Here is an 18087-nt window from a genome sequence, read left to right as displayed (position 1 = left end):
GATTTTTTTTTTTTTTGCTTAAATTGATTGTATAAGTAATATTTTGTTTCACTTCTTTTGGCATCTTGTATATTTCAGGTGTTAAAAACTGGATAAAAATTTCTTGACATCTAGGCACAGCAATAATTAGTGACCCATACCAACATTGTTTTCTTCATGAGTTGTTTTTAATTAAAATATATAGAAATATATCAAGACAGGTAAATGTAAAGGCTTTGCAGTCTTTATAACCTGTGTTAAAAGTTCTCTTTGGAAATAAAAACTATTACTGGGACAAAAAGGAAAACTTGGTCATTTAAAATCTATCTTCTAAGGAAGGGGGAAAATCCTGGTTTTAAATAGCCCATCTGGCCTTCGAAAGCTTTTCCCCAGGGAGCTGCACTAACTTCTGCCACATAGATCGTGCTTGATGATGGACATAGCCCATGGCAAAGAGGCCAGAGATGGAAAGCAAATGGACTTCTGTGAAAATACACGAGGGACAAACAGCATCCTGCTTGCCCAGTAAGTGCTAGAAAATGCTCTAAAACATGGCAAGTACAGACAGGCCCCAGCAGGTTCCAGCATTCTTATGTTGGCTGGGATTCTGGTTTTTAATGTGAGTCCTTGTTCTCTGTGAAGCAGACCTTTGACCTACTTGTTACTCCTTTTTTTTTTTTCTTAAAAAAAAAAAAAAGCTTTTTGAAGTTATAACTGGGCAGTATTATCCAGGTTAAATCATACACAGAACTTTGATTTAATATTTTAAGTAATGTTTAAATCGACATAGGCTGTGTTCTTAACTACGAAGAGGTAGTGAAGATGTATTAAGAGAAGTTTTGAGGGATGGGTTTGTTTTAAAACTAAAATTGCTTAGCACTTACAGAACTGCATGTCCCATATAGGATCTTCAAGCAAGACTGTTTCTTGTTTGTTATGGTTGACAAGGCCACCACTCTTTCTCTGTAGGAAGCCAACATTGATAAGAAGAAAGCAAAGCAAAATCTTTGTGATGCACTGTCCCTGGGACACTTTATGTAATTTACTTTTAAATTTACTAGCCTAAAACGGAGTTACAATGAAGAAGTCCTTTAAAAATGGGATCCTTTGATTCCAAATGTATTTATTAAATGTCTTAGGTATGATTATTTCTGCCCTTAGTGTGTCTATGATTTTTGTGTAGCCAAAAATTAATACCACTTAATACCAATTTGCTTTCAACATTACCGATTCAGAAAATCTAAAAGGTAGATTTGGCATGACAGATTAGAAAACCATAACCTGGCACCAGAGATAATGGTCACCTTATCCATCCTCTACTTTTTGAATGAAGACGAGGACCCTGCCTCAGCCATCTCACATGATGATGTTGGAAATAACCTCAGAAAATGGATGTGGAAAGATTGAACTATAAATGTACTCTAAAGCCATAGGATGTTATTGCATTCTGAATTTGAAGTTTTTCTTACACAAGCAAGACTTGTTTTCATTAATATACCTGTGATATGCCAATGTCTGAGCTATGAGAGTGAGTAGCCTTCTTAGGAGGGCAGAACCTGGACCATGCGTCAGTGTTCTGTTAGGATCCTGACAGCTGGACTAACAAGGTTAACATCCTAGCGGCATGCTCCGATGGTATGTGGATGCGAAGTTCTTGTACCATGTCTGGGGTCCAGTGGTATTCATCGCTCAAATAGGTGAGATTTTATGAGGTAAAAATCCATGGATACTTAATCAACTTAAAATTTTATTTGATTTAAAGTCTGCTGGATTATTTACTGGAGATTCAAAAATATTTTAACTCCTTTCAGAAGGTGCTTACAGGTCCAGAATTTAACTTTCTTTATATAATTTAAATCTATAGTGATTATAATCTGATTTCTAAGATAATCCTTTATACATCATGTAGTTTGAAAGAAGCCAGTCAGCCGAGTGTGGTGGGACGGACACGCTTGTAATCCCAGCTACTCAAGAGGCTGAGGCACGAGAGTCGCTTGAACCTGGGAGGCAGAGGTTGCTGTGAGCCAAGATCATGCCACTGCACTCTAGCCTGGGTGACAGAGTGAGACATTGTCTCTAAAAAATAAAAAAATCCCAGCAAAGTGTTCAGATAAAATCTGTTAAATATCAAAGTTCTCCAGATAAAGTCTGAGAAATAAGCTCAATTATTATTTATCTTTTCTTTCCCTACTCACTTTTTTAAATTGATGGAAAAAGTTGAGAGACCTTCTTTTCTCTCTTAAAATCTTTTGTGGGCCTTAAAGTCATTCTTCCAAACTGTCCCCCTCCCCACCAACAAAAATCTATGGAAAGGTCCTCACCTGTCCCCACACCTAATACTTTATGACAATCGTGTTCTCACTAAATCCTTTAGTCACTTACCACATGGATTGAAATTATCAAGCAACAGTACAGTTCTGGCTCCCACTCCAGCCTAGATGAAGCCCTTCAAAGGCATGAGTCAGACATGGTTTATCCATCTCTATGTGAGGCAGACAGGATAAATATAGAAAATGAGCTTAAGGAACTTAGGTCAGAATGAAAACAAGACTAAGGGAGACTTGCTTAGTACTGGTCTAATGGAGAGGTCAATTACCTGCTATCAATTATTAGGGAGCTCAGGTTTCCAGAAGATAAACTCAGTACAAAGAGTAACAGTCAAGGAAAAGCTTATTGGACAGATGAGACTTGGGTGAGGCCTTGAAGGATGGAAAATGTGGAGTGAGGGAGGGAAGCATTAAGAGGAGCAAGACTGAGCAAGGTGAGTTTCCGATATAGCAGTGATCACATCCTAAAGTACCATGGTGAGCTGTGCATGGGGAGCTGTAGGCAACAGCCTGGTTATAATATTCTCCTGAGCACCCCCATCCCAAACCCCGAGTGGCATCTCCAGGCCCAGATAAACATTTGTATCCTTGCATTTGTAAGGGTTCTCTAGCTTTTCCCCCACCCCCGGCAATTCAGAATCGTAACATTTCACTGGTCCCAGTATACTAATGATGATTTGTTGGACATTCAGATTCTTGCATTTTGCCATTAAAGGATGCCATTTCTTTTCCTGAGCTGTTTTTCTTAAATGATCAAGAAACTTCCATCACCCACGATCAGTCACACTCCTCACCCAACTTCCCAAAACTTTCTATTCTCTGATCTTCTTTGGATAGTTTATTCTCACCCTGTGCCAGGAGTGAGTACACTTCTTCCCTTTTTGGGGAAGCATGTGCTTTCCTTCCCAGTCTAACCAGGTGTCTTCATGTCATTTTGCTGAGCACCTCCTTAGCAGGGCTGTGGCACCCAAGTGAGTAACACAGTGAGAGCTGTGACACCTGGGTGGGTGATGCAAGGTGATGTTCTTTGTGTCATCTTCATGAGTGTGTGGGATTTTCAAACTTTCTTCGAGGGATAGGTTCATGATGCCCACTTCTTTTGCATCACAACAACCTCTAGAGTTGCACCTATAAAGAATGCCAGTAGATGCTGTTAATGAAACTAACTTGAAAAGCTGTGTGTGTGTGCGTATGCGTGTGATTAGAGATATAGTATCTTCCCACTTAGAATATAAAAATAATCAACTTTAAAAGACAGCAGTGGAAGGACAAATAATGCTGTATCTTAAGAGATGTTGTGAAGGGAAAAATTTTCCAGTTTCCTGTTGTGGAAATGAGTGTCTCCCCTCCATGTCAAAAAAAAAATAATAATAACCATGACTATGATTGTTAACAATTATTTATTTATTTATTTATTTATTTATTTGAGATAGAGTTACACTCTTGTCACCCAAGCTGGAGCGCAATAGCATGATCTCGGCTCACTGAAACTTCAGCCTCCCAAGTTCAAGTGATTCTCCTGCCTCAGCCACCCAAGTAGCTGAGATTACACATCCGGCTAATTTTTGTATTTTTAGTAGAGACAGAGTTTCACCATATTGGCCAATAGTTATATAACTAGGTAAGCTTTTCCTTTTAACCAATGAGTAAGAAGGTATCCCCACTCCCACCCCAAACTCTATTGAGAATTATTGAAGTTTCACATGAAGCAATCTCTGCCAAACTTATTGATTGAGAAATAATGGGTTATAATGGGAATTCTTTCTACTTTGAGGAATTTTCATGATATAATGTGATGTAAAACCTTGCATTATAGGATGTAGCGGCTCTATTTTATTTATCTGGAGGTGTCTTTTGATGTAAAGTCATTTGTTTCTAGAAAAGAAAATACTTCTATATTATTTTGATTAAAGAATTCCAAACATTACAAATAATTCTGTGACCAAAAGTTGTAAGTGAAGACCCTTGCAAATCCAACAGAAACTCTCAGTGGATTGATGTTAAGGGAAGGAGGTCTGTTTTATCCTGGTCATGTCTTATCCTGTCTCTCTCTAGCATCCAGGTTCAAGCCTGGTGTGTGACAGCCTTCTACACAAATGTGCCTCTCTTGCTAAGCCTGCAAGTGAGTCTAGCAGCCCATACACTGAAGCTTTCTGGGGAGCATGAGCATTGTTGTTTTGCCTTTGCTTTGTGGCGTTCTAAACTTCGGTGAAATCCATCTGGTAGTGTTGGCACTGAAGTCTCCATTGAATTAGCTATCAAAGTGGAGCCCCTTACTCCAGATGATCTTTAGCTCAGCTCAAGAACCAGAAATACCCCACACAGATAGGCTCTGAGAAGCTTCAGCTCTGAATGCTTGAAGAGAATGATTACTTTCTTAGTGTATAAGAAGAAAGGTTATACTAGTTACATATTTTTGAAGCAATTGCTATAACACCTCCTGAATTGGTACTAAAAATCAGACACTTATAGGTATTTGGTAAACATGTGGATTTTCAGATCACACCCTAGTCCTTCTGCCTCAGTGAGACTGATTTCTGTGTCTGAAAGGGAAGCCCAGGTATTTGCCTAGGAAGAATAAGCACTTCCTAATGACTCTGAGGCAGTTTGTCAGGCATATTTTGGAAATGGTCATAAAAAAGGGAAATAACTCACAGACAAAAACCTTGCCATTCTGAGATGCAATTTACTATAGAGATTAAGAGCGTCAGTTCTGGAGCCAGGTGCCTGGGACTGAATCCCAGCTCTGCCACAGTTGCTTATTACCTCTGGCAGTTTCTTCGTCTATAAACGGGATGTAACAGCATCCACCTCCTGGGGTGGTTGTGAGGAATCGGTGAGTTCTAATAGGCAAAATGCTTTATTTGGGCTGGCTCAATGTAAGCACTCAAAAATGTTTAAGTATTATTATTTGTTCTTGTCACTTCTATTTTGCTTCTAACACTTTTTAATATAATTATAAAATAATCCCTGAGATTATTTACAAGATATAAATATAAATTATTTTAATATAATTGTTTTATAAAATAATGCCTGGGAAAACTTTAGTGTATATCAGAACTTCCCATTATACAATATAGAATCGAGCAAGAGGAGGCAAGACAGCATTGTATAGACCTTAAAACCAGACAGATCTGTGTTTGTGTTTCACCTTCATTCCTTGGAGCTGTGTTACTGTAACCTGACCCTCCGTTTCCTTATCTGCAAAATGGGAATGATCATACACCCTGTAGTATCAAGTTGTTGTGGAGTATAGGTGAAGCATGTACGGGCGAGCCTACTTCCTAACATAGAGAGAGTACTCAATGGGTATTTTGTTTTATTGTTATTATATTTTGCACTCTGGGGATATTTGTATGTTCCAGTCTTGGAAGTAGCATTTAGTCTGGAAAGTCACTTGGGTGCCATTTGGAGTACTGAATTGTGATTTACTTGGTCAGACCCTAAGTCCTATGTGAAGGCAGGTGGAGCGGCCCTGCGAACTTGATTCTGGTCGTGAAAAATTAATATTGCTTGAGCCTGCTTCTCTAGTATGTACACCTCTAGTATTGTTATTATATTTTGCACTCTGGGGATATTTGTATGGGTTAGGTGTAAATATCCAATTTTTTATAGGAATGTCGAAGTTTTTTTAGTTGTTTTGTAGGGGAAGGACTAGTTTACATATAATTAGTATTTGTTAGTTTACAGGTCAATTAGTACTTGGCTTAAAATACTGATTAGTAAGTCATGGATGTGTGTGTGTGTGTGTGTGTGTATATCAAATGTACGTACATCACAGAGATTGATAAACACACACATATATCATGGAGATAGATGGACAGATGATAGGTGGATTGATTCAGCAACCCAGGTTTAGAGGGAAAGAGGAGAGAATGGGGATTCAGGGAGGCTTTTCTGAGAAAGCGGATTTCAAATTCTGCTGAATTGTGAAGTGCAATCAAAGTTAACCTGGATTTGACAGGAGGAAGTAGGAGCTGTAAGGAGTAACATTAGAAAGCCTGCTGCATGTTGGTTTACTAGGGTTAGGCTGGAATGTATGCCCGGGTGCATTGGAGTCACAGTTGCTGGGAAAAGACCAAAGAAGTTCAAAAGATAAACTGGGTTTAGACCAGCTAAGGCCTAATACATAAACCCTAGTAAGCAGTTTGAATATTATCCTGAGGGCAACAGGGAGCCATTAAAAGTTACTTTTTTTAGCAGGGGAGTGACAAGATCAGTCATGCACATTAGAGAGTCTACTGACTTTGCAGAGAATGGGCTGGACAGTACCCAAAGATGGGTAAAGAAACCAGTAGAGGAGGCTGCTGCAGAAGTCCCCTGCTGTGGCCTGGTCCGAGTTTAGCAGCTCTGTTTGCCTAAGTCCTATGTGAAGGCAGGTGGAGTGGCCCTGCGAACTTGATTCTGGTGGTGAAAAATTAATATTGCCTGAGCCTGATTCTCTAGTATGTACACCTCTCCCTAAAGTAAGATCCTTTTGGAAGTTGCATTAAGTCTCCAAAGCCACTGGGGTGCCATTAAACTCCTGTTTCGGCATACTAAATGGAATGGAATCTCAGCCTGCAGTCAGCCAGCAAATGAGTATAACTTATGTTGAATTCCAGCTAATGTACAGTCTTGGAAGTAGCATTTAGTCTGGAAAGTCACTTGGGTGCCATTTGGAGTACTGAACTGTGATTTACTTGGTCAGACCCTCGTGGCCTGTGTGTGCCAATATAGCTTCCATGGTCTTTCCTACTTCATTTCAGGGGATAACTTATAGAATGAAAACATCCATTTTAAAAATATATTTTCTATATCTTATTCATTTTCTTGGTGGATAGGGATTATTGAGGTCAGTATTTATTGCTTAAAACTCTGTCATTTAAATGAAAATAGCAAGTCGTAACCTAAAAATGTATAGTTTAAATGAAAGTAACGGATCATAACCCAAGGTAATTTTTCCTCTAAAATGCATATAATAGCTGAAGTTTCTTTTAAAAAAGCATTGATATCCACATCTTTATCCAAAAGTAATTTAAAATTTCTTTTACAAGGCATTTTTAAATGTTCATCATGTATAAGTTTGCTTTATATATAATATCAATAATAAATTGTTCACTGATATGCACGTAAAGAATGAGTCATATGCCTGTAAGGGACAATGTTTAAAAAAAAAACAAAAACTGGTAGTCTGATAAGCCCTGTGAGGTCTGAGGCTATGTCTTAGTCATCCTTTTAGCCCCATGTAATTGTCACCATGAGCCTGGCATTGAATATATGTTTCCTTTGCATGTAATTACCACATGCAAATGAACATTAATATGTGAAGCCTGTCTATTGATGGCTAATTGTGGTGGCTACTAGCACTGTGAGAGCTCTCTGCCTATCTGAGATAGGTGTTCTGGGAACTTCAAACAATTGATATTCCTGAAATATACAAATGAAGAAACCTCAAATAGAGTCTCTGTGATAACTAAATTTAACACTATTTTAGGATATAGATTCCCTTCTTAATAAAAATAATTCTTGGCTCAAGCTTTTAAAGTTCATAGATGCTTGATAAGTAAATAGGAATAGAATTTTAGATATGTAAAGAGATTAAGTCATATTTATCTAATTCGGGAAAGTAAAAGAGGGAAAAGATACGTAAATAGAGAATTTTACAAGTGCTTGCTGCCATAAACCATAATGTGCCTAATGTTTATGTGATATTGTAGAGTGTCCATTATGCTTTCCAAAACATTACCTCATCTGATCTGTTAGGAACACTGCAAAGTAGAGTTTTTGCAGATAAGGAAATTATGTTTTAGAGTGGCTGGGAGACTTGTCCAAAGTCCAAATAGCTCATAAATGATGAACTGGAAACTCTGTTTTCTGACTCTTAAGCCAATACTTAAATGTTCAGTAGCAAGTAAATAATTGGCATATATTACCACATTTTATACCTGGAGCCATCTGAATAGTGAGTTCACATTGAAGAGATTCCTCCTTGAACTGCCAACACATTTATGGCCTATACTGCTCATTTGCCGTAAAACTCTAACTTTTTAAAAAATGGCTTTTATTTCTAATTATAGAAGCAACATAGGTTCCGAGTAGAAAACTTAAAAATGTAAATTGGCTTAATGAATGCTATGTGACCATATATCAAATCCTTCAGAGACAGCATTTCTTAGAATTTTGTGCTTTTTGAAAATTTGTCATGCTTTAAAAATATTTTAAATGAGATCATCAAAAATACTTTTTGTTATTTTAGTTTTTGCTTTCACAAAATAATATGAAAATTTTTCTCATGCCATTAAACATCATTGTAATACCGTTTAAACAGCTTCATAGTATTCCATTTTCTGAATAGTACCTGTTATGGAGTTGGGGCTGCTTCCCTAGGTTTTCTTATTAGAAGCAACACTGAAGAATATCTTTGCTATCTCTTTGTATAAATCTATAATTTTTTTTCTTAGAGTAAATGCCTGAAATAAAATTGCTGGGTTAAATGGCATACGAAATTTCTCAATCATAAGCCAAATAGCCAAACAGAAAGATTGTGCCTATGTAAATTCCCATTTTGCAGTGTATGAATGCCGTTTTTTATATATTTCCCAATCCCTGATCTTACCTTCTTAAAAAAATTTTCGCCAATATGATTATCAATGGCAGCATATTATTGTTTTGCATAGCTTAATAACAAAATAGTAAATCATGTGAAAGAGGGAACCCAGCTTTGCTCAGGTGTTGTATCTTACACAGCGCCTACTGTTCATTGTTTAACAATGTGGACATTCAACAGACAGAACATTATCTTGACAGCATATGTAACAGATAAAACATTAATCATATTCTTCTTTCATCTTTGTTGTGTCAAATTTATCAGGTGCTGCCATTCATTCTTCTGTGAAATGAAATGGCTTTTTCCATACGCCATTTTAATGACCATATAATACAAGTCTGAAAGCATTTTAAGTTCTTGGAAGTAGTATCATAGTTTTTGAGCTAGCAAGAACCTTAAAGATCATCTAATCTGACCCCATCATTTTACATTATGTGAATTTAATATAAAGACATGAAAAATCTTGGTGTGTTTTGCAAATTGAAAAGTTCATTGTCTAATATTTTTACACAAATGTATTATTTTGTCATTAGTCTATATAAGTTACTAACATCCTTGGAAATTTAAACCTCTTTGTTTTTTAATTTTGTAGTAAAAATAAAATCATCAACTATGTTAAGAAAACTACATTTTAGACATGACAACAGATTCTAGTGTCGAAGATAAACCAAATACCAATTCTGCCTTTTCTAAATGCTATTTTCCTGTACCCACATTATTCCACAAGCCTGGTATAATCGTATTTCTTTTCATTTTGTTTTAGGTAGCAGTTTTACAACATCATCAGGAATATATACAGGAAATAATTCACTCACAAATTCCTCTGGATTTAATAGTTCACAGCAGGTAATTTAAAAAGCCAGTTTAACTTCTGAAAAATATCTTTAAATGCAACATGATTTTCTTATGTAAAGAAAGATCTGTTTATAAGTGAGAGCTTTCCTAAGGCTTTTAGTAGTTTTCTTTTAAAATTCACTTTAGCAGTCTTTTGTGGTGAGTTGTTTGGTTTTCAGATTGGTTTAATTTTACCTAGTATTGCATCATAGAAAAGCAAAAATATGAAGAATGTGTATAATCTTACATAAAATTTGTTTGCAAGTCTGAGCTCTTTAGTTAATGTGTACTTGTATGCCCCCGTGTGAATTCAGAAAAGGCTCAGAAACCCAAACATACTTACAGTTACACTTTGATATGTAAGAGATAAGCAGCAGTATTTTGACAGACAATTCTTGTGTGGTTTGATTTGGTAGGACTATCCGTCTTATCCCAGTTTTGGCCAGGGTCAGTACGCACAGTATTATAACAGCTCACCGTATCCAGCACATTATATGACCAGCAGCAACACCAGCCCAACGACACCATCCACCAATGCCACTTACCAGCTTCAAGAACCGCCATCTGGCATCACCAGCCAAGCAGTTACAGATCCCACAGCAGGTAATTATGTGAATATTATTAGTCCTGCAGGTGATATTTTCAATGGTTTCAATGCATTTTTCTACAGTCATATATTCATGCAGTGGTTGCACAATTTTGGCAGCTTTTGGCAAGGACTAAATATAAGTCAAGCAGCATGACTGTGGCATTCATTTTTATTTATTTTTTTATTTGCTTGAAATTTTAAAATAAAGTATATAAACATCAAAAGCACATGAAATAGAGATTTTATTTGTAAATATACTCAATTTTTAAGATCTGTGTAGTTTTTGAGATGCATAATTATAAATACTTAGCTATAACTATAATTCATTGGCACCACATATAGAGCATAAAATGGCAATGCCTAGAATTTGGCATTTATCATTATTCAATATTTAGTGTTTTTCATCAAAGTAATATCTTGCTGATAGTTTGAAAAACAATCAAAAGTGAGCCTCTGCTTTCCCACATGTGGCCTGCTGTGAATTTCATGACAATGTGTCATGAGTTTGGGCATTTGTTATGCTTCTGCACAACTCCCTTGCTGGTCTCTTTCAAATGCCAGCCTCTCCATGTGGAAATCTTCCTACATGATGTCTTTGATATCTCTTCCCCTCATTGATTCTTTCTTTCTAGAACTCTTAATGGTGTCTGCCTGATTTCCTGAATTGGTCTTTACTTAACGTTTCCTATACTTTCACATACTTCTCACCTCCTTGCCTTAACTTTTTAAAGAGTTAATCATACCTTTCATGGATTACAAAATAAGCTATTATCCTCAAAGAGTCAAAGTTTTCTTCCTCTTGCCTGTTTCCAGAGCTAAAGCCCACTCCATTGCTACAAGTCAGGTTAAAATGGTCTTAACATTGAAAAAATTACCTCTCTGATATTATAATCATAGTATGCATTCTAGGTTATCCTAAATCATGAAAAAAAGTTCTGTATAATAAATGCTAATTTAATTTTTGACTATAGAATTATATTTTAAATATTAATGGGTGATTTCTCCCCCAAAAGTCTTCAAAATTTTTCATGTTCCACGTTTTTTTCCTTTTAAAAATAAGTATGCAGACATTGCTTTATTCTAAAGTTTCATCATTCTTGTCTTTCAATTAACTTCTAATGCTCATTATTTCTGCTGCACATTTTAACTTTAAATATTTTTGTCTTTGATAATTGTATTCCATGTATCTTTATTTTCCAAAAACTAAGCTGATTCCTCATTCAGTTTACATGTGTACATACAGTTTTCATAGAACTGAGTATACATATCTCTCTCTTCCTTTAATTAGATTTCACATCTATATAATGACACTGAAGACAAATTTTATTATAGAATGCATTGAATTTATTATAGGAGTTCTTATAGAACTTTCTCTACTTACATAAACTTCATATAGGCATCATGAGGAAAGGTAATGGCTTGTCCCAACTTTAGGGAGATCTTGCCTTTTCATTTGAACCACCTGTGTCATGCAAGCTTCCTGAAAACTAAAAGGAGTTTTGAAATGAAGATCATTATGTGAATGAGATGTAGCAAACCTCTTTTAGGATCTAGAGAGTCATAGAAAGAGAAGAGGAGACAGCGAATAATATTATTTAATTTCTGATATTTTGGCTGTGAATACTACATTGTAAATAAACTGTTGAAGACTTAATTGTGTTTCTTAAATTAAGGTTGATTAGAGCTTTTTTGAAAAGGCCATTTGGTCAGATATAAGTGTTTGTCTCTGAAACCAGACATTGTTCTAAGTGAGTATTTTTCCTAAAAGGGATGCTATGTGAGAGAGTGGGGATGGTGGACTATAAAGCCAGGCCACATGGAAAACAATGAAAAATTCTAATTTCAAAATCGGTCCATGGTTTTAAGAGTGAATGATGTATTTTAGCTTGTATTGTAAAAGTAAAAGTGCTTAGTGTTTTAGGTACTTATTTTAATTTCATTATCTTATGGGAAAAGAATAGGAATGAGTTGAACCGAGAAAAAAATAATACTTTTCAGATTTCTTATACATACCTCTTCCAACTAAAGCGAGTATGTCTGGATCAGCCTTTCTTGTGTTGCATAATTAGAAGTGGAAAGTTCACTGAGTTTCCACATTGAAAAAGAAATGGTTTTCTTTAAAAATTCAAGGAAGATCTAGTCTGGGTATTTTGTTTTCATTCTTTAATTTGTGAAAAGACCGCAGATTCAGGCTAAGTTTTTTGGCATTAACTTGTCTTTCTTAGTAGTCGTATATAAAATAATAGACTTACTATTCTTGATGAAAAGGAAGTTTTGATGGTAAAGTACATAAAACAGAAGAATTTATTAAACTAAATATTTAGAAATGACTTATTAAAAACAATTTCTGTTTTGAGGTAGAATTTTTTACATTGTTAAAATAATGAATGTCTCTTTTTGCTGGAATAATTTCGGGTCTTTTTTTTTTTCTTTTACTTTTAGTCTATTGGGTTTAAAGTTAGTATTTTATAATACTGGAGAGTTAGACTCTAGTCATTTTCTTATCTTATGTATGACCTGGTTTCTGCCTTTCAATTTCATTATATTATGCAGTAGGGACAAATCTAGGTATATGTGATATTTATCTCATGCTTCATGATTTCTGTTCCTGCATTGTTCTTAGAATTGTTGTGTCACAATGGACATATAAAGATAATTTTGTAAGGGTTTTTCAGGGCAAACATGTAAGGACTCATTTGTGGGTTTTTTGTGCCTTTTTAAAGTTACTTTTTAAGTCTGTGATGGTGTGCAGTATTACTTGTAAACGTAATTCCTTATGAATTTTGAGTTCAAAAATTATTTTAAAGTGTTCATAATGAAATATTCAAAGCTTTATTACCCTTTGGATGGATATTTTAATACGTTAAAAATAATATAACTTGAATCTGAAAGCTTCCAAAATTTTACTCTATTTTAAAAACTAAAAACAGTGCCTTTGCATTCATTCTTTTAAAAATGAATTTGTTAGCTCTTTCTTCACTATCTTAATTAAAAAAATTCACATAATCTGCAGATACATTAGAATCTACCTTGAGAAATATAGATATTTTCTAGTCAATGAGATTTTAATTTATTTATTGCCTACTCATGCCTACTCTTCAACTAGCCATGCCTTAAACTCATGCCTACTCTTAAACTCATGCCTACTTTTCAACTAGCCATGTCTTTAAACTCATGTCTTAAACTCATGCCTACTCTTCAACTAGCCATGCCAATCACCCCTCACCGCCAATTGAAGGACATCTTGGTTGCTCTGAGTTTCTGGCAGTTATGAATGAAGTTTCTATAAACATTTGTGTGCAGTTTTTTTAATAGATATAAATTTTCAACTCCTGTGAGTAAATACCTAGGAGTGTGATTGCTGGATCATATGGCAGCACTACGTTTAGCTTTAGAAGAAACTTCCAAATCATCTTCCAAAGTGGCTATACCATTTTGTATTCTCATCAGCAATGAATAAGAGTTCCTGTTGCTCCATATTCTTGCCAGAATTTGGTGTTGTCAGTGTTTTAGATTTTGGACATTCTAATTGAGAAGTAGTGCTATCTTGTTGTTTTGTTTCCTAATGACATATGATGTGAAGCACCTTTTCATATGCTTATTTGCCATCTGTATGTCTTCTTTGGTGAGGTGTCTGTAGAGATATTTTGCCCACTTCTTAAACAGGTTGTTTGTTTTCTTATTGTTGGGTTTTAGGAGTTCTTTGTTTATTTTGATACACATCTTTTATCAGATAGGTGTTTTGCAATATTTTCTCCCAGTCTATGGATTTTCTTTTCTCTTAGCAGTGTCTTTTGCAGAGAAGTTTTTAATTTTAATACTCCAGTTTATCAGTTTTTCCCTCATGGATCATGCCTTTGCTCCTGTATCTAAAAACCTATTGCCAAAACCAAGGCCATCTAGATTTTCTCCTGTGTTACTATCTAGAAGTTTCATAATTTTGCATTTTACATCTAGTTCTCTGACACATTTTGAATTAATTTTTGTGAAAGATGTAAGGTCAGGGTCTAGATTCATTTTTTTGCATATGGATGTGCAGTGGTTCCAGATTAATTTTTGAAAAACTATCTTTTCTCCATTATGTTGCCTTTGCTGCTTTGTCAAAGACCACTTGACTGTATTTAAGAGGGGCTATTTCAGGGCTCTCTCTTCTGTTCCATTGATCCATTTGTCTATTTTTTCACCAATACCACTCTGTCTTGATTACTACAGCTTTATAGTAAGTCCTAAAGTCAGACAGTGTCTGTCTTCCAACTTTTTTCTTCTCCTTCAGCATTGTGTTGGCTATTCTGAGTCTTTTATCTCTCCATATAATCTTTAGAATCAATTTGTCAGTATCCACAAAGTAAATTTCTGGGATTTTGGCTGGAATCACGTTGAATTTATAGATCAAATTGGGACAAACTGATGTCTTGACAATATTGAATCTATCCATATGCATGGAATATCTCTCCATTTATTTATATCTTCTTTGATTTCTTTTATAGTTTTTCTCACATAAAGCTTATATATAATTTTTAGAGTTACACCTCTTTCTCTCTCTCTCTTTCCCTCTCTAGTATTGATGGAAATAATGGTGTGTTTTTTTTGTTTGTTTGTTTTTTGAGACGGAGTCTCCTTGTCGCCCAGGCTGGAGGGCGTGGCGCTATCTCGGCTCACTGCAGGCTCCGCCCCCCGGGGTTCACGCCATTCTCCTGCCTCAGCCTCCCGAGTAGCTGGGACTACAGGCGCCCGCTACCACGCCCGGCTAATTTTTTGTATTTTTAGTAGAGACGGGGTTTCACTGTGTTAGCCAGGATGGTCTCGATCTCCTGACCTCGTGATCCACCCGCCTCGGCCTCCCAAAGTGCTGGGATTACAGGCGTGAGCCACCGCGCCCGGCCGGTGTGTTTTTAATTTCAAATTCCAACTGCTCATTGCTGGTATATAGGAAGGCATTTGACTTTTATCTATTATGTTATATCCTGCAACCTTCTTCATTGGTTTCAAGAGTTGTTTGGTTTTGGGGGTGGGTATTTGTTGATTTTTTTTTTTTATATTTTCTACATAGACAATCATGTTTTTTGTGAAAAAAGACAGTTATATTTCTTCCTTCCCAATTTGTATACCTTTTATTTTCTTATTGCATTAGTAAGGACTTGTACAATGTCGAACAGGAGTGGTAGAGGGGACATCTTTGCTTTGTTCCTTATCTTAGAAAGGAAACATCTAGTTTCTCGCCATGAAGTATAATGTTAGCTGTAAGTTGTTTTTTGATGTTCTTTGTCAGCTTTAGGAAGCTCTCTCCCCTTTCCTAGATTACTGAGTTTTTTTATTATGAATGGGTATTGGACTTTGTCAAATGCTTTTTATGCATCTGATGATTTGATCATATGGTTTTTCTTCATTAGCTCATTGATGTGATGGATTACATTAATTTTCAAATGTTGAACCAGCCTTATATATCTTGGATTAATCCTACTTGGTCATGACATATAATTCTTTTTATACATTGTTGGATTCAGTTTGCTAATATTTTGTTGAGGATCTTTGCATTTATGTTCATGAGAAATATTATTCTAGTTTCTAGTTTTCATATCTTGTAATGCCTTTATCTCATTTCAGTATTAGGGTAATGCTGGCCTCATTGATGGAATTACAAAATGTTCCCTCTGCTTCTGTTTTCTGGAACAGATTGTAGAGAATTGTAATCATTCTTTTTCTTAAGTATTTGATGAAATTTACCAGGGAACCCATCCTGGTCTAGTGCTTTCTGTTTTGAAAGATTAATTGTTGGCTCAATTTCTTTAATAGGTACAGACCTATTCATATTATCTATTTTTCCTTCTGTGAGTTTGGGTAGACTGTCTTTCAAGGAATTGGTCCATTTCATCTAACTTTGTCTAATTTGTGGATATAGAATTGTTCATAACATTTCTTTATTATCCTTTTAATGTTCATGGGATTGCTAATGATGGCTGTCTTTCATTTCTGATATTAGTAATTTGTGTATTCTCTGTTTATCTTGGTTAGCCTGCCTAGAGGTTTATCAATTTTATTGATATTCTCAAACAGCCAATTTCATTGATTTTCTCTGTTGTTTTCCTGTTTTTAATTTTATTAACTTCTCTGATTTTCATTATTTCATAATTTTTTTCTGATTGCTTTTGAGTTAACTTGCTTTTCTTTTTATAGTTTCCTAAGAGTGGTGCTTAGATGATTGATTTTTAGATCTTTCTTTTCTAATATATGTGTTCAGTGCTGTTAATTTTCTCCTGAGCGCTGTTTTTGTGGCATTTCACAGAATTCGATGGGTTCTGCTTTTTCATTTTCATTTACTTCACAATATTTTAATACTTATTTTTGTTTTTATTACCACTGGAATCCTCCCTTTTAATGATGTATATATTTATAAACATTTTATTGGAGAGAAAAATCTTAGAAATTTCATAGTTTACAGTAAATATAATTAGTTACAGTTACCCAGATATTAACATCTTACAGATTAAATGGCTTTCTCTTATTAGAAGATATGTGTAATTTATGAGTAGAAGGGTATTCCATGGTAAATTCAAATTTCACTCTCTATAAAATAAAATTTTGATCAGAACCAACTAGTTTTCCTTGTTCAATCAAAGACTGTAAGACAGTGTCACAATGAAATCCATGATTACTTTAAATAATAAATTACAGATTTCACTCATTTTTATTTTTAAAAACCCATCTTTTACAAAGCCAATGATTTTTTTTCTATGATCAAAATAGAGGAAGGGAAAAATAAATTTGAAGGTGTTTTCCTTTTGTGCTAATATCTAAACTAGCATTTTATCATCCCCTAGCCACTGAGGTATAGAGTAAGTTATCATCTTGTACTGATCGTAAAAGCTTAAGTCATATTACTACTAATCTAACTAAATATATTCTTTCAAAAGAGTGATAGAAATACTTTTTGAGTATTATTACGAAGAAAATTGTAATTGACTTTTATCAAAAGATCACTTAAACCATTTTTATCATATGATATTTTTCATTATATGATTCATGTGTATAATCAAAATTTAAACAATCATCTATAATCCAATTACTGTGCTGTATTTAAATAATTTGGCCTGACAACATATTTTTTATCCCAAATCTCTTAGAATATCTCATAATTTTGATAGCTATCATCACAATACATAATAAAATACAGTCGAACACAATTGTTGTGCTTAGAGCTCTACATTCATTACCACATGTAATCTTACAATATACCATGAGATAGGTACTATTTGTTCCATTTTACAGATAAGGAAAATGAGGCACATCACTCTTAAATGCTCAATAAGTGTTAGGTATCATTAAGTTAATCAAGAATGTTGAGGCTAAATTCTTAAAAAAGCACTATTTAGCTATAATATTGTATTTTTAAAATAATACAAATATAAAGCAGTGAGGGACAAAGATAAAAGTGAATGGTGAACGAAACATTTTAGATTAATGTGAAATAAAAGATAATTAGTTTTTAGGAATAAGATTTAGTATGAATGCCGTAGAAAAGTTTGTTTTTCAAAGGATTTTTTCATTTGAATTTCTTACATCAACTTGATGTTGAAATCTACCTTCACGTGTGCTGATCACATGCAGACAATTTACTGGTTAAGGTGTTGGACGGGAATCTTGCCGATATTGAATTTCAAGTGACAGAGGAAAAATCAGTATAAGAGGGAATTCAATATGCATGGGAAACCATTTGTTCCCTCTGCTTCTTTGATCCCTGCCAAGGCACAAGAAAGTAGAGCAAAGCGCCT

General features: G+C 35.0%; 1 protein-coding gene across 27 annotated transcripts in view; it reads left to right on the top strand.

Annotated features, from left to right (window-relative positions):
- EYA1 (EYA transcriptional coactivator and phosphatase 1) overlaps positions 1 to 18087 on the top strand; it is a 350662-nt gene that overhangs the window by 238716 nt on the left and 93859 nt on the right. For all 27 annotated transcript variants that reach the window (XM_047421528.1, NM_001370336.1, XM_011517484.4 and 24 more), the window contains 2 exons: positions 9659 to 9741; positions 10146 to 10332. In XM_047421528.1, coding sequence (XP_047277484.1) covers positions 9659 to 9741; positions 10146 to 10332 — 270 coding nt within the window. The remainder of the gene's footprint in view (positions 1 to 9658; positions 9742 to 10145; positions 10333 to 18087) is intronic.

This window comes from Homo sapiens, chromosome 8, assembly GCF_000001405.40.
Source record: "Homo sapiens chromosome 8, GRCh38.p14 Primary Assembly".
Taxonomy (NCBI): Eukaryota; Metazoa; Chordata; class Mammalia; order Primates; family Hominidae; genus Homo; species Homo sapiens.
This window is presented reverse-complemented; position numbering and strand designations above follow the sequence as displayed.